The sequence below is a fragment of the Homo sapiens genome, chromosome 6, assembly GCF_000001405.40.
Source record: "Homo sapiens chromosome 6, GRCh38.p14 Primary Assembly".
Classification (NCBI taxonomy): Eukaryota; Metazoa; Chordata; class Mammalia; order Primates; family Hominidae; genus Homo; species Homo sapiens.
This window is the reverse complement of record NC_000006.12, coordinates 2,663,206-2,688,095: the sequence shown is the minus strand read 5'-3', so window position 1 is coordinate 2,688,095 and position 24,890 is coordinate 2,663,206. Positions and strand designations below refer to the sequence as shown.

General features: G+C 44.1%; 1 protein-coding gene across 5 annotated transcripts in view, besides 1 other annotated feature; it reads left to right on the top strand.

The window, feature by feature from the left end:
• Positions 1-24,459, top strand: part of MYLK4 (myosin light chain kinase family member 4) — a 106,740-nt gene extending 82,281 nt beyond the window's left edge. For 4 of the 5 annotated variants that reach the window (NM_001347872.2, XM_005249078.5, NM_001012418.5 and 1 more), the window contains 9 exons: positions 2,520-2,613; positions 2,691-2,800; positions 4,934-5,075; positions 7,805-7,875; positions 8,688-8,816; positions 9,724-9,876; positions 12,971-13,049; positions 16,748-16,820; positions 20,197-24,459. In NM_001347872.2, the coding sequence (NP_001334801.1) occupies positions 2,520-2,613; positions 2,691-2,800; positions 4,934-5,075; positions 7,805-7,875; positions 8,688-8,816; positions 9,724-9,876; positions 12,971-13,049; positions 16,748-16,795 (826 nt within the window). In that variant the 3' untranslated portion in view covers positions 16,796-16,820; positions 20,197-24,459. Of the gene's footprint in view, positions 1-2,519; positions 2,614-2,690; positions 2,801-4,933; positions 5,076-7,544; positions 7,876-8,687; positions 8,817-9,723; positions 9,877-12,970; positions 13,050-16,747; positions 16,821-20,196 lie in introns of those variants that run through there. The other variant, XR_926185.4, reaches the window with a different exon arrangement.
• Positions 22,383-22,949: an enhancer, noted in NCBI's record as "NANOG hESC enhancer chr6:2665381-2665947 (GRCh37/hg19 assembly coordinates)". NCBI's record gives its function as "activates a minimal SCP1, AML or CMV promoter by ChIP-STARR-seq in naive H9 embryonic stem cells {active_cell/tissue: H9 hESC(naive)}" and the evidence as "EXISTENCE:reporter gene assay evidence [ECO:0000049][PMID:30033119]".

Below are 24,890 nucleotides of genomic sequence, written 5' to 3'. Positions count from 1 at the left end.
AGAGTAAGACTCTGTCTCAAAAAAAAAGAAAAAAAAAGAAAAGAAAAAAAACCAGAAGGAAAATTAAAGTCCATCAGGGACCCGCTTCCTGCTGGGGGTGGGGAGAGGGTGTTCTTCTTCGTTTACTTCTTTCACAACCCCCCGTGATATCTTGTAACTCAAAGTCTAAATTATAACGTTTGCTGCCATCGGCATGTCTGTGTAAAATAGGAAGAGGAAAGCAGAACATCTGCACGTATACATACAAAATGTACTCACCAACACAAGGAAAGCACGCATCGCTACTGCAGTTCAGGCGTCTGCAAGTGGTCTTCAGGGAGTCCTTGATATTTGTGAAGTCCCTTCCTCCTCTTCCCACTCCGTATTTCTTTGCCCTGTGCCGAATGGAACCACCTGGACTTTCCCTTCCTGATCTGGCTGATCTCATAGAATGCCCCATGAGACTGCGGGGATGGGCTGAGGGAGAAACAGGAATTCCACAGCATGAACTGGCTCCATGGAAGCCTGAGGTATTTGGGCCTTCAGGGACATCAGTGGCAAGCCAGCAACTATTTCTCTAACCGAGAATAGTTATTTGCAGAAGAAGCTTTGAAAGAATTCCCAGGGTTTGTGCTGTTTTTCTGGTCAAGGTTTGTCAATTGCTCCTTTGAAACTTCCTTTCTGTCTGTTTGGGCACCATGGGATCTTCTCTTTGGTACTGCAGTCTAGACCAGCTGCCCGTCAGCTCTCGTTATGGGCTTCACCAAAATTGGCAGCCGTAATTCACTCAGCAAATAAGTGAGAGGAGCATGATCAAATGTGCGTGGATGCCTTCAAAATGCAGACATCACCAAGTGCTGCACCTCCTTTTAAGTGGTAGCAGGTTCAAGATGTAGCAACTTATCTTTTACTTTTGGCAGAAATATTGCAACATGCCAAGGACCACTGGATCCCAAAAACCCTGCCCACAGGGGCAGGCCCCTGAATTTTCCTGGGAGTTCGTCTCCTGCCCTGTGGCCTTGAGGGTATCCATCATCCCTGCTTGCCATGTTCAATGAGCATAAGGTTATCACTGTGTTGAACCAGCATGAATCCTGGGAGTTGGCCTCAACCTTCAGGGCCCTTGCACAATAAATCAGGGGAAAGAGTCAGAAGGTTGAGGGAGCCGGGAAGTCAGACAGTGATGGGCACCACTGCTGGCTCAGGAGGTTCTGCGGCCATTGCTAGTGAAGGGGAGAAACCATTTCCATAACAACCAATTAAGAGGTGGCTGGGGCTGTGTCCGTGTGTTCCCATAGAGACTCTATCTGGAGCAGAGGTTGGAATTGAAGTCACGCCGTGGCTACGTTTATGGTAATCCTGTGTCATTCTCCAAGATTCATCTGCCTCTGTGCTGGGTGTGCAGCCCCACAGTAGGATGCAGCGGCCGCCAGTGCCCCTGCATCTGCCCAGCGTTGCCATGACTTTCATCGCTGAAGTCCTCTGCCTTGTCATAGGGCTTGCCTCGGGTTCACTGTGTTGCTAGGGAAGCTGTTCCTCACTCCCTACTGTGACATCCACCATTGCAGAGCAGGGACACGTGTTCTAGCTTATTTTACTAAATAAGAAATCAAACTAAGCAAATTAAATTTAAAACTGCTCACAAGTGTGCACATCTGTATGTGATTACGTAGGTAAGAAGCTGTCTTGTGTTTATATTCAAGCTCATAGGTGACTTGGCAATATGCAGTCTTGACTATATGGATGTATATGCAGTATTGTTACATATGCAGTTTCCAAAAATAATTTTATATATCTGAAGGTGGGCTCTCTTGTTCATATGCTGGCAAAGCCCAGCTCATAACATTCATATGTATTCAGAAGGATTCTGCATTGTCTGTAAAGGTGGTTCTCAAATGTGAGGGTGCATATGAATCACCCAAGAAATGTGCTGAAATGCAGATTCTGGGGCCTACCCCTGGATTCCTGCCTCAGGAGGTCTGGGGTAGGGCCCAGAATCCTGGATTCTTTTTTTTTTTCTTTCTTTCTTTCTTCTTTTTTTTTTTTTTTGAGATGGATTCTTGCACTGTCGCCCAGGCTGGAGTGCAATGGCGCGATCTCGGCCCACTGCAACCTCCGCCTCCTGGGTTCACGCCGTTCTCCTGCCTCAGCCTCCCGAGTAGCTGGGACTACAGACACATGCCATCACATCTGGCTAATTTTTTGTATTTGTATTTTTAGCAGAGATGGGGTTTCACTATGTTGGCCAGACTGGTCCTGACCTCGTGATCCTCCCGCCTCGGCCTCCCAAAGTGCTGGGATTACAGGTGTGAGCCACCGTGCCCGGCCGAGACCTGCTTTCTTAACAGCTCCCAGGTGATTCTGATGCAAGTGATCCACACACCACATGTTGACAAATACTGCTCTAGAAGTTTACTGAAAGAACTCCTCAGAGGGCTGCTCATCCAGACTCAGCAGGAGAAATACTGGGGCCACTGTGCGCTGTCCACTCGGCAGCTGACCACAGGGCCTCATGCTACGCCGCTTCCTCTTTTTGGCAGAGGGCGTTTCGGCCAGGTTCACAAGTGTGAGGAGACGGCCACAGGTCTGAAGCTGGCAGCCAAAATCATCAAGACCAGAGGCATGAAGGACAAGGTACAGCCTGTGGGAGGTGGTCCCCTCCCTCCCCGCCCCATCTTGACCACACTAATGCACTGTTTCCTGCTTCTCAGGAGGAGGTGAAGAACGAGATCAGCGTCATGAACCAGCTGGACCACGCGAACCTCATCCAGCTGTACGATGCCTTCGAGTCTAAGAACGACATTGTCCTGGTCATGGAGTAGTACGTATCCCCTCCGCCCCCTCCCTGACCTCCCCAAGGGCACTCATGACCGTGACCGTGCCTCAGTAGCTCCGTCCTGCTGTAGCGGGACCAGAACCAAGCTCGCCCCCGCAGACTCTGATTCGCGCGGATCACACAATCACATCAGTTCTAGAAGGGAAACACTTGGGGTTACAAATCTCCATATGGGATTTTATTGCTAAGAAGTAGTGGGACCAAGTAGATCTAGCTTTGTATCTACGCTGTTTGTCAAAAATCAAGCTTAAATATTAGCCAGGGCAACCTGGAGGAAAGTGGTTTTTGAGCTACATCTTACTTTCAACATATTCACTAATACAAAGGTCATGTCAACAACTGGTGATGATTAGGGCTAAGAAGCTTCCATTTAAACTCACCTTTATAAAAACATAAGGACTGGTTAGTTAGAAACCGAGTACAGTCATTACTTGGTATCGGAGAGGGATTGGTCCCAGGATCCCTGCAAATACCAAAACCGGAGGACACTCAAGTTCCTGACATAAAATGGCATAGTCTTTTGCATATAACTTATGCCTATCCCCCCGAGTACTTTAAATAATCTCTAGACTACTTACAATACCTGATAAACTGTAAATGCCACATATACAGTTGTTATACTGTATTTTTTAAAAATTTGTATTATTTTTGTTGTTGTATTGTCAATTTTTATTGTTTTTTGGTCAAACATTTTGATTTACGATTGTTTGAACCTGTGGAAACAGAACCCACGAATAGGGAGGGCCGACTGCAATTCCAACACTGAATCGATATTGTGATTCCGTTTTGTTTTTCATTCCTCAATAAGGCATTTTGAATAAAAAGTATAGTATCGTGGTCCTCCCTTGCCCACACTTTCACTTTCCATGGTCTCAGTTACCCAAGGCCCCAAAATATTAAGTGGAAAATTCCAGAAGTAAACAATCAACAGGTTTTAAATTGCACACTGTTCTGAGTAGCCTGATGAAATCTCCCACCGTCCCGCTCGGTCCCACCCAGGACGTGAATCATCCCTTTGTCCAGCGTCTCCACCACTCCCTGCGGTTAGTCACTTAGTAGCCGACCGGGTCATCAGATTGACTGTGGAGGCATCGCCATGCTTGTGTTCACGGAACTATCATTTGACTTCATAATGGCCCCAAGACACAAGAGTAGTGCAGCTGGCGTGTTGTTATAATTGTTCTATTTTACTCGTAGTTATTGTTGTTAATCCCTTACTGTGCTTAATTTATGAATTAAACTGTATCGGAGTTATATGTCTATAGGAAATAACATAGTATATACAGGTTCAGTACTATCCACAGTTTCAGGCATCCACGGAGGGTCTTGGAAGGTGTCCCCAAGGATAAGGGAAATTACTGTGTCTAGCACCAGCCACAGAGAAGCACTTTATCCCTGAATTCAGTCTGGAGACTTAGAGGGCTGAGACCCTGACTACCTTCAGTCAGGGCTTGGAGTTCCCCTCCTGGAGTTCTTAGGATCCTCTTTCTCTTCAACATCTTTAGAACATGATACATGTGGGCTCACCCCAGAGCTGAAGACACTGAATAAAGGGGCTTTGAGGGCCGGTGTGGTGGCTCCCACCTGTAATCCCAGCACTTTGGGAGGCCGAGGCTGGTGGATCACTTGGGGTCAGGAGTTCGAAACCAGCCTGGCCAACACAGTGAAACCCATCTCTACTAAAAATACAAAAATTAGCCGGGCATGGTGGCGCATGCCTCTAATCCCAGCTACTTGGGAGACTGAGGCATGAGAATCGCTTGAATCTGGGAGGCGGAGATTGCAGTGAGCCAAGATCCTGCCACTGCCCTCTAGCCTGAGCGACACAGCGAGACTCCATCTCAAAACACACACACACACACACACACACACACACACACACACACACAAAAAGGTGGGGAGTTGGCTTGAGGATTTCCATTTGTGAGATTAAAGGTATATAAAATACAGGCCTTCAAGATAAGAATCATCTAAGTAAGATAGTAAAGAAGGCAGAGAAATAACTGCACATACACCTTTCAGAAGAGGTAGCAGAACTTGCACGACAAGTCACTACGAGAAAAGCACATGGTGGTAAGGAAATCGGGACTGAGGGTTTCAGTCCTCTTCCCTCTGCAGTGTGGATGGTGGGGAGCTGTTTGACCGCATCATCGATGAGAGCTACAATTTGACGGAGCTTGATACCATCCTGTTCATGAAGCAGATATGTGAGGGGATAAGGCACATGCATCAGATGTACATTCTCCACTTGGACCTGAAGGTAAGGGTGTTTTGTATCCTGTGAGACGTAAGCCCTTCCCAGCTCTTGCACAGTGGGCCCTGTCTGCTATTATATGCCAGCTGGGGAAATTGGTACAGTCATTTCAGAAATGAATAAACATCTGAATTGTTACCCTCATCTCCTTATTCTCAGCTTCTGTCACTCCCTAATATTTGCATGTTCCATCTTCAGGGGTGATATTCAGATTCTTGTAACTTGCCTGCGTTAAGGAAATCTATATGGCAATGGTTTCCCTAAAAGTTTAGAATGAAAACAGTCACCACCACCACAGCGGTATCCACGTGGTAGCCCTCTCATCAGGACAAGTAGGTGAGAGGATTTTAGCTAACTCAGAATTCCCTAAGTAGTAGTCAACCTTTCCAGGTCTCCAAGAATCGCCGGCAGCTCCTCGAGTCACTCAGGAAGCTCCAGACTTTGGGACTTGTTTTTCTGTGGGTTTGCTGCCCTGTGGAATAGAATCCTATGGAGAATGCAGCAGAGGACAGTCGGAAGGATGGGGCCAAAGTGCTAAGGAGAAGAGAGGGTGGGGTGGGCACCCCACTGCCAATGGTGGAAAGCACACAGAAGCCAAGCCGCCTTTCTTTCTCCTCCTATTGATTGCCCCTTCCCTCTTTACCTCTCTCATGTCTCATTATGAAGTTCCTAGAATCGGACTGTATGTAGTCTTAGTTACAACCAATAAAAGACCTAGGCCCAACAACCCTGATCAAGTCCCATATTGGGACTAAGTATCATAAAGTACGTCTTGTGTGGCTTGGTCATTTTCTCATTTCCCTGTTTGCACAGCGTGACAGTAACATAAAATATACAATCTATATAACATCCCATCTATTGCATTCACTAGGGATTGCATAGCTAAATAAATTTAGCCTCCTGAAATAGGTTTCCATGGGCCTCTCTTCCTATAACTTGGCTTCCCTCACTGTCTTGATTTATGTGCCTTGCCTTTCCCATTCACTTTTGAGCAGGAGGAGAGCAGGAGGAAGTGGTTTATAAAATGACAAAGTCAGAGGCTAAAAATCATTAGCAAAACCCTCACTATGAACTGAGTTTGATAATGCATGCTTTCATGGAGCATTTTCATTGAATGTAGATATTCTGCAGATATCCCTACAGGGATTTGATTGGCAACTGGAACTAGGAGCAAACCTATTGTAAGTCAAATGACTCCATATGAGGCTTCATAACATTGATTGAGGACCTGCAGTGGGCAGTTTTAGTTATGGCTTGGATGCAGAGATCATCATAAAGGTGACAGCTGGATGGGTCCTTAAGGAGCTGCTTTTCTGAAAGCTCCTTGGAAGGAAAAGGGCCAAAAATATTGAGTGATTGTCAGTATGTGGGGGGAGATTATAGGTGACTTACAAACAGTCTGTTTTATATTTTTCTGTTTTGCAAAATTTATCCAATGAACATTGTTTAATTTTATCGTCATAAAAAGGCTAACTTATTGAAATGCCCTCAAAACGGTTTCTCTATATCCTGCAAACTTTTTGATGCCACAGTACTCCTTCACAATTGGACAGCTTTATACATGATCCATCAGTGATTTAAGCATGAAACCAAATGGTTCACGTAGCACCCCCTTCTCTATAATGACTTTTACTCACAAACATCTGTTTTAGAGATAGTTTAGAAAAGGGCTTCCAAAGATATTCTGCCCAACCAAATGTACTATTGAATATTGATAAGGAGACATTATGTCATTTCATAATGTGTTTCTGAATTTCTGATCTCATTGGAACCTCTTCTCCACCTGGACAGGTTGGGGAGGGGAGCCTGATCCCACTAAAGGCTGAGGAACGGGATCCTGGGCATTTGGCTTCTGGGATGGTGCCCTCCAGCTTGTAAAGAATTGGGACTGAGGGTTCTTAACTCTGAAAACTTTTTTTCTCTTTTATAAATGGCCTTGACTTTAAATCAAATCTCTTACTTTCCCAAGACCTCTGTTTTTCTACCCCAGTAAACATTAGGTGCACTTGTAAGGCATTCTGTGAACACTGAGTGGCTGCACTACACCCCATTTTCTCCCCCTGCACCCCAAGACTGTCAGGTCAGCAGGCTAAGGTCTTACCAGGGCCTAGCTCCAAGGGAACACTTAGTCAGGGGTTTTAGGCATTGAGACCAAACTCAGCAAAACCTTGGAACTGCTGAGACTGAAGAACGACTGGAGAGAAAAGCCCTCCTCTGCCGTGCGACTTTCCCATAGGCGTTGAGCAAAGGGAAGCTCTGGAGGCCGGAACGTTCACGTGACAGTGCATGTTCAGTGTGGCTGTTTGAATGGAGCAGGTCAATTCCCTTGGAACTCATCAATCTTGGGAAAAATATTTCTCCAAGAAGGGGAAATTCATACTGAATAATTTAGAGGGGCAGATGTCAGGCCTGAGCGGGCCTCCACAGCACATTTGGGAAGGACTGAAGCAACCTCCTTTTCTTGCTCCCCTCAAGGCCTCTGCCTGAACTCAGGCATTATGGTGAACTGTGAAGCCGTGCAGAGGACAGGCTGGATAATGCAGGGTTGGCAGGATACCCGCAACCTCATCCACCACATAATTAAAGGAGAAAGTACCCACACGGACAAGCCCGCCCCGAAGTGAAAGGCCTGATATGTTTTTTCTGAGCATCGTTGTATTTTTAGTTGTGGTTCAAGGACAATTTGAGTGAATGATGGTTGTTTTCATTGCTAATGTGTCTCTTTCTCCTGGCAGCCTGAGAATATCCTGTGTGTGAATCGGGATGCTAAGCAAATAAAAATTATTGATTTTGGATTGGCCAGAAGGTATGTCTATTTGGACATAGGTGTACGAATGGAGCTGGGGGACATGATGGTTGCCCTTCCTTTGCAAACATATATCTGATCTGCTCTTTGGTTTCATGATCTCATTTATAATTAATTTAACAAAAATTATGTTTGGCCTTAACTTGCTAAATTTGAGACTTGAGTGTTTAGAAGTTTCTATAATGCATGCAGTAAAAAGTATAAAAAATTAAAACCTAATACAGTGAAGTTTATTAAATTAGAAGCCATTAATTTAGCATTTGCAAGAGTTTGTCCCCTCTTTCATATTTGATCCATCTGTACAGAGAAGATTTACTTTAAAAATATTAACAACGTAAGCAAGTTTGCAAAGGGTTCTGGCACATAAAAGATTCTTCAGGGAACAAAGAGTTTACGTGGACACATTAACAATTCAGCACATTAACGACACATATAAAATGGATGTTGTAAATTATTGCAGTACTGTGTTTATTCATTTTACAGGCTTATTCACATCATCCCCATGTCAATGACTATATCAGTTTTCCTCTTGTCATCTTCTGTAATTCAGATGTTCTCATTATTCACAGCAGCTTCTCCAACAACTGGTTCAGCTTTTAAGGTTTCCTAGTATGAATTTTGACTTTTAAATTTTCTGGGGCCTCTTTACAAGTTTTTGAGCCTCTTGCTTGATTGTTTGATTTCCTTCAATGTTTGTTTGTCTGAAGTTTGCTGTATGGCTGAAGTCATTTTGTCTCATAGACTACATCATTTCAGTGTTCACGATTTTTGATCGACACGTCCATCCTTCCACTTTGTCTCTTAAATTGCAGATACAAACCCAGAGAGAAGCTGAAGGTGAACTTTGGAACCCCAGAATTTCTCGCCCCTGAAGTTGTGAACTATGATTTTGTTTCATTTCCCACTGACATGTGGAGTGTGGGGGTCATCGCCTATATGCTGTGAGTAGCTCTCCTCTGTCTCTGACCCTTCTCCAACTCCATGCATATTTTCTGAGGTTTTGCCGTTTTAAATAAAAGCCCCAATTGGGGTATTTAAAAAATAAATAACACTGTCCCATCCTCAGTTGCCTTCTAGGTTTTGTTGACTCCTGTGGGTGAAAGGAGTGAATTCTTTCCCTGCACATCATTTGGAAAAGTAAATGTGTGTCCTCTTCATTAATCACTTTAACTCCTAGGACACAACCTAAAAGCCAAAAATTAATTTAAAAAGCTCACATGGCCTGGCGCGGTGGCTCAAGCCTGTAATCCCAGCACTTTGGGAGGCTGAGGTGGGCGGATCACGAGGTCAAGAGATTGAGACCATCCTGGCCAACATGGTGAAACCCCATCTCTACTAAAAATACAAAAATCAGCCGTGCGTGGTGGCATGCACCTGTAATCCCAGCTACTCGGGAGGCTGCAGGAGAATTGCTTCCAGGAGGTGGAGGTTGCAGTGAAACGAGATCACGCCACTGCACTCCAGCCTGGTGACACAGCGAGACTCCGTCTCAAAAAAAAAAAAAAAAAACTGATCTCCTAAATGACTCAGGCTAGCCTCACCCCTCAGAGGTGACATGCCTAGCGTTTGCCATCTGAGCATGTAGTAGCACTTTGCAAGCTGAAAAGTGCTTTAAAAAGGAAGCTGATATTCATATTCATATTCTGTTATTGCTGCAGTTGTTCAGTTAGGAGTTGGGTGGGGGCGGCAAGCATTTTCTTGATTACAATAATATGTTATAAAATTATGCTTCAGGATTAGGTTATTTTCCTTCTCTCACCTTTAAATGGCACAACCAGAAAAGCAATCTGTATGGAAAGGGGTTGAGGCTGTTTAAAAAATACTCACTCTGGACCCCGTGTCCTCCAGACTTAGCGGTTTGTCGCCTTTCCTGGGTGACAATGATGCTGAGACGCTGAACAACATCCTGGCCTGCAGGTGGGACTTAGAGGATGAAGAATTTCAGGACATCTCGGAGGAGGCCAAGGAGTTCATCTCTAAGCTTCTGATTAAGGAGAAGAGGTAACGCAAGTTCGTCCTGTGCTCCGGGCGCAGTAGGGATGATAAGGAAGCAGGGCCTACCACCAGGGCTGTTCGAATTTATTCTCTTACTAACATCTGTGATGCTTGCGCAAAGTCATGGATAGAATGAGGTTTGAGCCTCTTGACCCAGTCTACTGAGATCTGGGACTGCTTTGGTCATGAAGCTACACAAACCTTTCTCTTCCTGCCATTTATCATATGGCCATACCAGCCATGGACTCCTGCTGGGCCTTAGTTGACTCACTGTCAAAATGGAAGGCTTGGGAGAAGTATTTCTAGGATTCCTTTCACCTCTACTAAGCTGTATATGGTTCCGTGTAGCTGAATCTTTAACTACCATTTCATTTGGGAAACTACTGTGGGCCAGATCATGCCAAGTGCTTTGTAGACATTATCTCTTTTAACTACCACCCCTGACCCCAACTCCATGAGGCAGAAATCGGGTAGAAGATCCCACGTGGTTTGCCCATCATCATACCGCCAGTAATTGGCAGAACAGAGGCTCAAACAGATAGTTCTCCTTCCCCAACGGCCGCACACTTGGCTGTTATTTATTACATGGCCCTCTATTTTCTGTTATGCTAAAACCACATTAATTCAAAATTCAGTGAATGAAAAAGAGTGACATTGAAATATAGGGATTTGCATTTTAGAATCATAGAAGGGGAAGGGCATTGTGATTAACCCATCAAACACGCTGTTTCAGATGGCTTTATACCTGAGCCGTATAATGATTGAAGTAGTTAAGGTTTTCAGGGTCAATAGCACTTGCCTTATCGTTTTATTATCTTTATGGCTTTAAAGTCACTAATACACATGGCTGTGGATCAACAGGTAGAAGGGTGTCACAGGGAGTGGGGAAACAGTGTGGGCAGTGGGTCTGGCACACAGCTTGGCAGGAGATGCTTTCATTCAAGTGTTGATCACCTACTGTGTGCCAGGAAATGTGTCATGTGCTAAGAATAGAGGCACAAATCCAGTCCCTGCCTATAGTAACTCACCATCTAATAAAAGGGATAGATATTTTTTAAAAAGATGTAATAAAATGTGGTTAACACAAAGATAAGGCCATCCTTAGAGGATGAAGAGAACCTAGCCAGGCTAGGGGTATCAGTCCGACAGGAGGGACAATTCACAAATAATGGATTAATAATAATAATAACCTTGGCTAGTATTGTGCCTTGATGGAAAGGCACAATAACAGCCAAGGTTATTATTATGAGCACATTACTCTACCCAAGGCAGTGAACAGATGGAAACTGTCAACCCTTTCAAATCTTTGGAGGACGAGAAGTCCACATTTACTGTGAACCTGTTTTACATGTGTACTTTCATGTGTTATCTTATTTGGCTTCTGGATAATCCTGTGGTCTGTGGAGACCATCATTTTACACATGGGGAAACTGAGGCTGAGAGCAGTGCTGCAGTCACACGGCTATCTCAGAGCAGATGCAGAGGTGGGCCCAGTGGGCTCCAGTGCCGCTCACTCCTTCAGTCTGAGGGCTTCATGAATGCCCAAGGAGCATCAGATGCCCATTTGGGCCGATGGCAACTGGCTTAGAATTCCAGTCAATGCTTGGATGAAACTAAAGCCAAAAGCCAAACACCACTATCATAGAATAAATTTCTGGGGTACAGAAATAAACTTGAAATGTTATTAAGTTTAATTATTAGTACAATGTTATTGTTAACTTTTTAATAGCCAGATTTAAGAAGTTCGACACTAGAGTACAGAATCATCATTTTTCACCTTGGTCAGCCATTGGAATGCTCTGGAGATCCAGTACTGAAAATTTATGACACTAAGCAGAACCACACTTCCAACTGAGGTTGATGGAGGTCACGAGGTTTTTAAAAATTACCTCTGCCTGTTTTTGGCACTATAATGGTGATGTTGTCACCAAGTTCATTGATGTAATAAAGACTTATCTCCTCTTCAAATCTTATACTTAAATATTTTGGTATCTGATGAAGCGATTGCATTGAAGCAATCCTACAAACTGAAGCTTCATTACTGCTTGAAACTGCCTCTTTGACTTCAGATTGTTACATTCACTTACAGGTTTTTTGTTTGTTTGTTTGTTTTTTCATTTTTTTTTTTTTTTTTGAGACAGAATCTCACACTGTCACCTAGGCTGGTGTGCAATGGCACGATCTTGGCTCAATGCAACCTCCACCTCCTGGGTTCACGTGATTCTCCTTCCTCAGCCTCCTGAGTAGCTGGGATTACAGGTGTGCCCCACCACACCCAGCTAATTTTTTGTATTTTTAGTAGAGACGGGGTTTCACTATTTTGGCCAGACTGGTCTTGAACTCCTGATTTCGTGATCCACCCGCCTCGGCCTCCCAAAGTGCTGGGATTACAGGCATGAGCCATTGCACCTGGCCTACAGTTTTTATTTTGAAAGGTTATTTGTTTTAATGTGATAAATGTTAGCACATCAAACAAATGTATAGAACTTAGAATTTAAATATGGTAAATCTATATTATTCTTCCTCATATTATTTCCCAAAATCTTATAAACCTTTGCTGGCTCCAAAAGGATATTGTTTCTTCATAAAAGTATCTAATGGTCCCTCTCTTAATAATTACATCGACTCTATTTCCCTACCTATTTAACTCAAAACTTCTCAATTCAAAAGTTAGTAATATTTATTATTCAAAAGTTTTAATACACAAATTGCTTTGGCAATCATCAAGAATCATTGTAGCATTTTGTTCTTACAATAATAAATATATATTTATTTTTCAACTGACTGATAGGAATCCACTTTACTAAGCTCAGATGTTATACTACAGAAATGGTTACTTATATTTGAAAGTAAATGTTCAGTTATTAACAAGAATTTTTATTATTTGCCTTGTTTGTCTTTACTAATGTTATCCTGATTGGATTCGATAGTCACCTATGCCATCATTGATAGCACACAATTCAAGAGAAGGCAGAATTGACCATGAGTTGACATTCGGCCATCTGGTCTCCCGAAGGCAGAAGCTGGAGTTGAGATTGAACAGCAGATACAGGCCTTCTTCGGTGTGTTTCTACTAATCACCTTCTGAATTTCCTTCTAGTTGGCGAATAAGTGCAAGCGAAGCTCTCAAGCACCCCTGGTTGTCAGACCACAAGCTCCACTCCAGACTCAATGCCCAGGTGACCACGGCTTCTTGCTCTTCCTCTTTTTCTCCTGTCTGCCTGTCTTTTGAAGATCAGATGCTGGAGTCATCTTAACCTTAAATAAGATTCTTTCTCATTCTTTTTCTCACAGACTGCAAATCTTGTGCAGTATTAAATTACTTAAAATGCTTTTTTAAAAAAAATTTTTTTTGAGGCAAAATTTCACTCTCGTTGCCCAAACTAGAGTGCAATGGCACGATCTCAGCTCACTGCAACGTCCACCTCCCTGGTTCAAGCGATTCTCCTGCCTCAGTCTCACAGGTAGCTGGGATTACAGGCGTGTGCCACCATGCCTGGCTAATTTTGTAGTTTTAGTGGAAACAGAGTTTCACCATGTTGGTCAGGCTGGTCTCAAACCCCTGACCTCGTGATCCACCCACCTTGGCCTCCCATAGTGCTGGGATTACAGGCCTGAGCCACTGCACCCGGCCTTAAAATGCTTTTTTGAGCAGTTTACATTTTAAAAATAATGTATTTGTTGTTTAACAGAGTATTTTCAGCATAACTGTTTATTATTAAATTATTGTATCCATTATAAAATGAATTACTTCATTGTCTTATGTGCACATACATACACACATATAACCTATAAACATATAAAGTTCTGGAGAATATATAGTAATGTTCATTCAGGAGAAATATGCCTCCTTAAAACAGAATTCAGAATTCTAAATTCTGTGCTCACCTGGCTTGATCTGCTCTGGGCACCAAATCTTAACTCTAATACTCAGCTTAGTCCGGGTATCTATACAAGTCTATGTGTGGGAGACTCTTAGACTACAGACTGAGTATTGTGAATAACCTAGCCCACTCTCTGTAATAACTTCTTACAATGAAATCTTCACCTACTCTCATTGCCTTAATTACCAGATGTTTATATTCCGACTTCCTCATCTGTCTCTTTGGCACAGATATCTTTCCTAAGCTGCAGATCCATATGTCCATCTGTGTACTAGATGTTTCCACCAGGATCTTCCCATCCCTAAACTAATCTCATCTCCCTGCCCCTTGCCTCACCATCAGTGATCCTCTTAGGGAAGGATGCCCATGGAGCGGCCCCAGCCAGCCCCCGTACATCTTCTTTGCTTCCTTCCTCTCCCTCGAGCCCCCATCTCATGTTTAATTTACCTCCATGTTGTGTACATGATATCCCCTAATTACCTCTGGAAGCTGTCTGTTTCTCTCCATTCCCATGGTGACCGTGGCCTGGGACATGCCTCCCCTGAGTGACTGCAGCCTCCTAACTGGCTTCTCTGCCTCCTTCATGTTGTCTCCATCCAAATAATTGTGGATTATATAATTAACACAGAAACAGATGTGTAATGCCCAAGTAACTTTACTGAACATCTAGGATGTTCAACTGGCAAGATGCATATACAGGCAAGACGCCATGCCAACCTTTGGGCCCACCAGGACCTGTCTGATGTACCTATCAGTTAGGGTGGCTGGTGCCCTGCCCTGGTATAGCATGGGTTTGATACGTTTTTGTTTCTTCCACCTTTGCTCCTCATCCTCTCCATTTCCTGAGGTTTTGGAATGGAACTTTTTCACTGACCAACAAACCTTGGAATGACTATGCCTTAGGTACTCACTTTTTCCACATCCAGTTTTTATTGAAATTAACTTTACTTCTAAATTCAGCATCGGCACTAAGTTTTATTTGTGTCTGAATATACCTTTCCTTGATAATTGGTACTGATGTCAAGTAAAAATAGACTTATTACCTAGTGGGTACCTCACCCAGACTACATAAACTGCTTATTAGGGTTACTAACCTATTTTGAGCCAATTTTCCACCGATGTATTTTTATCCAAGCTTATTGGTGTCCAAATACACTTTGACATGGCAGGATAGTATAGAAACCACAGCAGATAATTAATGACATTGTACAGTTTAAAAAGTGTTTAAGAATATTTTTTAAACCATATAACAACAAGTAAAATCACCTTTTGTATCCATCCATCTGCTGGTACCTGAGGTGAATAGATAGTTCAAGAGTGATGATGGGTTTTTTTTAATGAAAAATAAATTTCATTTTATAAATCTAGTTATTACAGCTATAATTATACAGTATTGTGGAGGTACTCTTCTAACTGCTTTACAAAAAATAACTCACTGACTCCTCATAGCAACGCACAAAATGGGCACATTAGTGTCTGTAGCTGAGAACACTCAGGACAGGGCTGAGCTCTGGAGTCCGGGCAGAGCCTCACTGCTCTGCTCTCCTGCCGGTGATGGGCTGCTGGGTACAGGGGACCTGAGCGATGCTTCCAGAGCCTTTCTTGTACCATACAGTTTTAGTGTTACTGAAAATCAATATTCAAACTTAGTATATCTTACTTTTCAAGGAAATATTGAGACGAAAGTTTTCCAGAAGGCTTATTTTTAGATTAATATTGGTTCTACAAAATCAGAATTTACTTTTAAGTTGAAAATTTAATTCTGATCCAAAACTGTTTACCATTTCAATCTAAATTCTATTTTTGAGTCTTTCGTATATTTTTATTTGTCTCTTTTGCTTCAAGCTTAAAAGCACTTACTATTTTGTAACCACTTGAGTAGCATATTGACTGTCACTAAATTTAAGAAGGATTTTTTTTTCTTAGAAGTTAACATCCGAGAGTTCTCTGCCCTCTGTATTATGCTCAAGGTGACATGCGATGGTTTGCAGCCTTTCTTACGTCCCCAACCCTCTGTGTATAACCTGTTTCCATCAGAAGCAGCTCTCAGCTGGGGTGGGGCAAAGCACTCCCAAATTAGGAATCTACTAGAACTCAGCACCTACTGCAGAATTAGCCAGGGTTCTGGGGCCAGAGGAAGGAACACGACACAAATTTGACATGTTTTCTTTCCCCCAGAGCTAAGAAGCCTCTGACCCTTCCTTCCCATTCTCAGTGTTGTGACCTCGGCTCATGCCCTCTCAGTGAACTAATAAAACAACCCATGAGCTGATATCCAACCTCTACTCACCCTCTTCCCTAATCTATCAAATCATTAGTTCCTTAATTACAGCTCAGACCTTGACTGAAAAAATCTTCACGCGTTTCCCATTGTCCACACTAGACCCAACCCGGTTGCAGTCAGGGCCTGCTCCAGGACACCCCCAGCTCTTCTTTTGAGTCTCGTCTTCACTGCTGCCTCTAGAGCAGCCCACAAGTCAGTACTTGTCTAAGGCCTGTATTAAATGCCCCAGCTTTTCCAATCCTCAAACTGGAGACTCTTTCTCTGTCTTCTTGAATCTCTTTGTGGAATTCACATTACCGTTGTCTACTCAATTTGAAAACTTTTGGAAGAAGCCATTTCTGTGTCTGACTCATCTTTGCAGTCATCGTAGCCCCAGTATCGCAAGTGATAGAGCATTCTTGTGCTATACACGCGTGAGTTTTTGCAAAACATACCTGAGTGTGATGAGGTGCTGAGCTGTTTGGCCCTGACTCTAAGTGAGAAGGAAGGGTCGTGTGACAGGGGCCTCAGGGGAGAGTGGACTCTGAGATGGACTCTGAGGTTGGCCGGTGTGTCTGCCAGGGGGTTGTCGGGAATGTAGGCTTCAAGAACTTCTCTTGAAGAGCACCTTCTCCTCAGTAGCAAGTGATTGTCTTTTCATGTGAGCTCATAAGTCAGGACCTGAAGGAAACAGTCCTAATCCTTCCCATATGCCTTCTGCTTTCCCTAGAAGAAGAAGAATCGTGGCTCTGATGCCCAGGACTTTGTGACCAAATAGTCTACAGGAGGCAGCCATTTGGAAGGTTAGTCTTGGGTCTCCTGAAGAGGTGTCTGTGAAGGCCTTAAGAGATAGGAATAAGAAATAAATGGAGCATTTGCTCACAGACTATGCAGGAAGAAGAGCAGCGTTTTGGCTGGCGTGGAGGGCCCTGAAATCAGACTGCTGTGTTTGCACCCTGCCTCTGCTCTTTCTTACTGGAGGAAGCTCAGTGCCTGACTTACGGGTTGGGGAGAGTCTCACTTCCTAAGCTTGTTGAGTGGCTCCCACGAGATCATTCAAGCAAAGCCCCGAGACCAGAGCCTGGTGCGTGGGAGGGATCAATAACCAGCCCAGGGGGTGCTGGTAACCGTCTAGGGGTAGTCCTTACGACAATGTGTGAGATCAGAGGAAGTGACACCCTCTTCTGTACAGATAGGGAAATTGAGTCTCAGAGTCTCAGAGACTCAGAGACACCCCCACGGCCATGCAGCTTGTAAAGGGTGGAGTGTGGTTCCCTCGGGTGTTTCTGAAGCTGAAGCCCATGTTTTTTAATCCCCTGAGCTGCTTCCTGATCTTGGCCTGCTCTACGAGCCCAAAGAATACCACCTCCCATACACCCTGACACATGCGGACCTCCACCTAGCTCAGGTGTTTTTGGAATTATTGAGAGATGGGTTTACACATGAATACCTTCTTTGATATCAATAATCTAGCCCAATGTAGCCCTAAAGGAGAAGACTAAGAGGCACATGTACTTATGAAGGACTCTAAGAAAACCCAACATTCATGTCCTTGCCGGGGGCCTAGACCCTGCAGCAAGTCAGCTCCCTAATCTTGGGTGGGGAGTCCACAGCCATTTTCACAGCTCCATGCATGTAACTGCACAGCGTTGACGACTTGTGAGTGAGTTCTTGCTGCTCACTGTTGTTTGTTTGTTTGTTTGTTTGTTTTTTGAGATAGAGTCTTGCTCTGTCACCCAGGCTGGAGTGCAATGGTGCGATCTTGGCTCACTGCAACCCCCACCTCCCAGGTTCAAGCGATTCTCCTGCCTCAGCATCCTGAGTAGCTGGGATTACAGGCACCTGCCACCACGCCAGGCTAAGTTTTGTATTTTTAGTAGAGATGGGGTTTCACCATGTTAGCCAGGCTGGTCTCAAACTCCTGACCTAAGGTGATCTGCCCGCCTCAGCCTCCCAAAGTGCTAGGATTACAGGCGTGAGCCACCGGGCCTGGCCTGGTCTTAATCCTTTCTTCTGATAGGTATGTTTCTGGGCCTGAGGTTTTTGCATGTCTTTTTGATTGTACATATTATTGTAAGCTGCCTTGAATTTTTTGTGGAATAAGATGGGGTAGAAATGAATCAGTACCTCATAGTAAAGGCCACACATCAGTGCTAGGAAAACACTTGGCCTTCGGAGGAAGGGACGCTTACATGTGCCCTGTCACTTATTTAGAAATCCACAAAAAGTGAACAGGAAGGCTTGTGCATTCCATTTACAAAGACCATTCTTCTTTGTTAAAAACAGCAAGGACATGAAAGTCTCAATAAGGTAGGAGAGAGTTGTTTCTTGTGAGGACAACCTGGAGCAAGAAAGGACCCTCGTGCCCCCAGGCCTAGGTTATGGCACTCAGCGAGGTGCCCCAGTCCTGCACCGTCAGTTCCTGGATCCACAGACAACCAGGCTGTGTCCACTCCTTCTCTCCCTCGCCTTCACCCTCACCCCCAGAAGCAGTTTTGTCCCTAGCGACCACAAACCCCGAGGGTTTGCCACAAACCACCTTCCCACCATAAGGACCGGAGCCACTCTGGAGGCCTGGTGGGAATGAATTCACTGGGTGCCAGGGTTGCATTCCAAGGCGGGCCTGCTGCCAGGGTCTGGTGGGGGAGGAATGAGGAGGAAATGGTGATGGGAGGGGGTAGAGTCCTTCCACACAGACATGGGTGCCTCGAACCCAATGTGATGGAAGACCACAGCAGCCTACGAAGCGATGGCTGTGCAGAGGACGCAGACAGCAGCATTTGGGCTGGCCACGCTGGGGCAGCTGGACACAGCCTCTGCTGGAACTGCTTGAGGAGGGCTGCTGACAGCCATGGAGCTGGCTGCCTTCCTTTCCTGCACTCTTCAGCCCCATTTGGCCTCAGAAATTCACCTGAGTCACACTACAGGCCAAGGAAGAATCATTTCAGATACACACAATCTGGATGCTTCCTAGTTTGCTTTCTGTTTTGTTTTTGTTTTTTTTTTAATTAGAGACAGGGTCTTGCTGTGTTACCCAGGCTGGAGTGCAGTGTCATCAGCATAGCTCACTGCAGCCTCAAACTCCTGGACTCAAGTGATCCTCCTACCTCAGCCTCCTGAGTAGCTGGGAGAAAAGGCTTTCACCACCACGCCTGGCTAATTTTTAAATTTGTAGAGATGGGGGTCTCACTATGTTGCCCAGGCTGGCCTTGAACTCCTGAGCTCAAGTGATCCTCCTGCCTCTGCCTCCCAAAGCACTGAGATTACAGGAATAAGCCACCATTCCCTGCCTACCTTCTTACTTAAAAAAATAAATAAATAAATAAAACTTAACATAAGATTTTAACTCTGGGAGCAGCCTCATTTGAGAAGTTAGGAAAAAAAAGATTATTCTTCACGATAATATTCCCTGCCAGGATGAGATGGGTTTATGGCAGGATGTATTATGATGGAAACCAAATTTGAGATAATATTGATTTTAAAAATCTGGTGGCTGAAGATTATTCCTGTTGTAAAAGAAAGAGTTCCAGGCCGATAAATAAGGCATAATTCACAATGTCAACTGAGGCATATATGTCTCCTACAATTTGTTAGAGGAAACATTCCCAAAATCAACCTGGTGGCATTTTGTTTCTGGTTACCTCTGTTATATCTTTTGCCAACTTATGGGATATAAATTTAGGGTACTCCTCAGAGCCACAGGAATGATGGCAGGTAGCCGTGTGCGGGCCCCAGGTCAGACGTGGTCATAAAGCACATGGAAACCTCCCCACACCTGAGGCCACATTCTCACTTTGATGCTGGGATCAAGCTGACCAGATGGACGGAGTGGCTGTACTTCAGACGAAACAAAGAGGCCTTGTCCTTCAATATTGCAAATAGTACTAAAATATCTTGCACACATGTCCCCATGTAACAAACCTGCACATGTACCCCTTGAACCTAAAATAAAAGTTGGAAAGAAAAAAAAAATGTCTTGCACAAACTGAAAAATAAAAAGCCCAACTCTGGTTGGTGGTGGAATCCATCAAGAGGTTTCTTTTTTTTTTCCCCCGCTCATATACACACATATGTTATTAAAAAAAATCATCTGTGGTTTTCCTAAGGGGCACAACCAACTAATTATAATTTTAAAAACCCTGCTGAATTAACAAGATTCATATTTTGTTTGCTTTGCAGGAAAACTGCTGTGGTTGCTGCTGCTTCGAGAAAATTTTTTGAAAAATCAGCAGTTCTGATGCCTTGACCCCTGTGATGACCTGGTAGTCTTAGCAGGGGGAGCCCTCGACCCTGAATGTGAACTTGAACTGGAGTGCCTCTGCTGCGCTCAGAGGAACACCCAGCGCTGCGGTCTGGTCTCAGGGCGCAAACACATCCCTGCACCCGGTGGTGGTGATGTTGGGAAGATGTTTCCCTGCCATCTTGAGATTTTTTACTTTTTTAAAAAAATTTTTTGATCTTAGTCACTGGGGCAGGGGGTGCATTATGTCTGCCATTTCTCAAATGACTACAGCTGTGACACTTAAGATTGATTGGAGATTTTAAAACTGGAGGATGCATTTAGAGGGAGAAAGCTACTTCCAGCCATTAGACTATGCCTTTGGAAGGGGCAATTAGATGGCCAGAAAGAATTCTGACTCCCATGCACCCTTGGAGACTTAGTTTCACAGACTCTGTCATTTTGATTTGGTCTGTGGTCACGTGACTACAATGGATAAATAATTTGTTTGCTGGAACAGAAGCCGTCTTTGAATTCTCCAACAAGAGGCATCAGCCACTGTGTCTTTCATTTATTCTGAATTGTCCCCAGCGTGCGTTTTCTTCCATGTAGCTGATTCTGTTTTTCACATCTATACTCCCTGCACCCTTCTGACTGACAGTTCATCCCCACAAAACACATTGGTTTTGAGAGGTGATGCAAAAAGTATCTGTTTATGGTTGGACTTTGAAATTCTGACCTTTGAAATAATGTCAACAGTCACAACAGGTTTCCTCAAGCCCCATTTGTCAACTAAAAGAGACGGATCTGCACCTCCTGGAGCAAGATAGCACTGAGCTTTCAACATTGAAGTGACTTGGGAAATAACATTCAAGCTTCTGGGTAAACACATACAAACAGTGGCAAAGACCAAGTACAGTCTCTCGCCTGTGCTGTCTCATGGGACTCAATGGTGGTGAAGAAATCTCAATCGGACACCAGAGGTGGGGGCAACTCTGCAAGCTCACCTGCTGGACGTGAGAATGTTGGAACGTTCCAGTTGGAAGGTTCCTATGCCTAGCCTGTGTGCCATTTCATGGCAGATATGTAAGAAAGGAAATGGCCCTACTGTAGACAGCTTATGGGGCCCAGAAAGGCACTGGGCTTTAAAGAGCGAAATGAGTGTGTCATTTCCACATGAAGGAGAGGCAAGGAAAAGCCCCACAAAATTCCTGTTACCCGCTGAACTCCAAGCTCACCAACCAGATTCATGAGCTTTCTCACATTTTCCATTTCCAAATAACTGTTGTGTTGAATCAGCTGTGTTAATGCCTTTATTCTTTGTTTTTTTTTTTTAGACGGAGTCTCGCTCTGTCACGAGGCTGGAGTGCAGTGGCCCCATCTCGGCTCACTGCAACCTCCGCCTCCCAGGTTCAAGCGATTCTCCTGCAGCCTCCCGAGTAGCTGGGATTACAGGCGCACGCCACCACGCACGGCTGATTTTTGCATTTTTAGTAGAGATGGGGTTTCTCCATGTTGGCCAGAATGGTCTCAATTACTGTTGTCGCAATAGCAATGAAAGGCATAAGAATTACTTGGTGGCCTCATGAGGGATGGCAGTTTCACTTTGCATCAGCTTTCCCCCATTATCTCTCAGATCCACTTAAGGAATCCTTACAGCATGCCGTGAATGTGTGCAACATCCTTATTCTCATCTTTAAGGTAAGGAGGAAGTAGAGATAGAAGGAAATACGTGATTTGGTGAAGGCCACATGCGAATTTTGTGGTCGTGTTAGTTATAAAACTGACTCCTTTCCAGCCTTTGCTCTTACATTATGATGCGTTTCTTTTTCTCCTTTGGCCTTGCATTTATCCGAGGTTGGTTTCTTATGTTCCTGTGATGTGACTATGCTTAAGTGTTTAATTTAGTTTGCTTAAAACACACACACCACACACACACACACACACAAAACCCTGTGACTGGAGTGTTATATTACTATGCTATCTTTAGCTGATGATATTCATTGAGCCTGGAAAAATACAAGCCAGTGCATGCATTAATACTTAGTTAGACCGCAGAGAGCTGGCATTCACTCAAATGCTAAACAGGACACAGGGGTCTGATTTGAAGCCCCTCGTGGCAGGGCGTTTTCTGTCCTGTGGTGTGCATTCTCTACCAAATCAAGCAGGAGATCTTTTGCACGACGTGCAATTTGCATCCACCTTCCCTTCTGACTCAGGTTGGCAGATAAACTGTCCCCAGACCCTGCCACACATGGAAGAGACAGCTCAGGCCAAATACAGGCATGATTTCTTTGCCAAGTTAATGCACTGATGACCCTGCAGTGAGTGGGTGTGATTTTTGTTTTGTTTTGAGGTTTAGAAAGGAGACTGTACTTTGAAAATGGATCTTGTTTGATTCTGTAGTTAAATTTCCACATTTGGAATGGGAAGGCATCTCCATGCCAGCAGGGTGCCTTTTATATGAGTGCTGAGGGTAGTTTGCATTGCAGAGTTCATGATTACAGTCTAGAGTTACTTGAAATGGGAGATTATCAGTCTAGTGTTCATCCCGCCCCTGCTCCATGTCCTTGTGTGGCTGCTCCAGCGAGAGCTGGTAACTAGGTAGACTGCTGCTCTAATGGGGAAAGGGGGCTTTGCAAAGCCGAGGAATCAAGCCAGATGCGAGCATGGACTCAGAAAAGCTGAGTCTGGCTAGACCAGGGCTATGGAGATCAATTTTTCCAACAGGTCATTAGGATTTGGGAGGCTGTATTTCTCCTCCACCCTCTTAATGGATGGTATGGCTTTGCTCACTCACTAGGCAGTTCCCACTTTCTTTAGCAAATGGAGGAAATTAAGCACCGATGTAGCACTTCCCACTGCCTGGAGAGAAATAAACCTCGCAAGTTATTAAGGAGAAGGCATGCCTCATTGGTAATTTGGAAGACACCAACACTTACCCAGAATCTGTTGCTATTTAAAAATCAGGGAGAGGAGGGCACATGTCCCCATTTGCTACATTACAAACTTTGGACGAGACTCTCATCTGAACTAACTTGGGGAAACAATTTCTAGGTTGAAGCTGGTAACACTCATGTCTGTTGAGTGCCATAAGTTTGTTTTCAGTTATTTCCTCTAACTTGATATTAATTTGCTTTCTTTCCTCAAAAATGTAAGTAGGCATGTTGCCATTGTTGTGGCTTGCTTTGATGTATGTTTGGAAAGATGTGTGAATACTTAATTTTTATCCATTTTATGGAAATTAGCTTAGCAATTTTTTTTTCTCTTTTAAGAATCAAAATATGGATTTGATACTAGGAACAGAATCTGCTCTTTATTTCATTCCTTTTTTGTCTCTTCTGCTTCCTCTGCCCCTCCCCCAGCCACGCAGCACGGGTGCCAGTGTGCATGCGTGTGCTGGGGGCCAAATGACAGAACCCCGGTTGAAAGTCCGCTTGTAAAAGCACAAGTGAGAGGCAGCATCAGGCCCCTGGAGGGCTGTGGTCCTCGGACTCGGTTCTTTCCTGTCCCCTGGCCGTCCTGTCATCCCTGTGTGCTGCAGCATCACCACGGCCTACTTCCCAATATCCACAAAGCTTCGCCTTTGCTTTTGCACTCTCTTTTACATTTTTTTACTTCTTTCCTTTTTCTTAAGTTCGGATCCAAGTTTGTCTTCTTATCCATCACCATGCTCCCTGAAAGCCTTTTTGAGATTAAGAAATTTTCTTACCAGGAGGCAACTTTCCGTCTGTCCTAAAGGGAAGTGGGTGCTGGATTTATTAGATATTGGGTTCCTGGATTAAGATGACTTCCTCACATAGCTTGGAGTCTGCAGTTTCTCAGTTAGAAGTGTTCTATATTTCTTTTTGCTCCATTTTAGTGCGCTGTGCTTTGTATAAGTGGTCTTTCTATGGGCAGTTTCACCTTCCATGAAGGCTTATAACTCAACCACTACTACCCATTCAGAAGAGCAGAAAGCATCTGCTGTGTGAGCGTTCATATGTTACCTAATGTGTATTTTGCTGTCGTCTCAGCTGATAGATGTCAGTGAGTCTTTCTGACTAGGTTTATTGGTGTTGATAAGAAATTAAAAAAAGGATTCATAACGTGGTGATTGTGTCTATCATGTATATTTTAAATTTCTGAACGTACTTTCATTTAGCTGTTTTTCTTTGCTTTCTAAAGATGTATAACAATCATGTATATGTATTATATTGAAGAATAAACATGGACCTTATTTATCTTTTGATTAATGGGCTCAATCATTCAAAGACATTGCAGTAGTCTGTTCTCGCATTGCTATGAAGAACTACCTGAGATTGGGTAATTTATGAAGAAAAGAAGTTTAATCGGCTCATGGTTCTGCCAGCTGTCCAGGCTTCTGCTTCTGAGGAGGCCTCAGGAAACTTGCAACTCCATAGAAGAAGGTGAAGGGGAAGCAGGCACTGTCTTCACATGGCCAGAGCAGAAGAGAGAGAGAGAGAGACAGACAGCGAAGGGGGAGGTGCTGCACACTTTCAAACCACCAGATCTCATGAGAACTCACTCATTACACACTTTCAAACCACCAGATCTCGTGAGAACTCACTCATGACACACTTTGAAACCACCAGATCTCGTGAGAACTCACTCATCACAAGAACAGTAAGGGGGAAATCCACCCCCATGATGC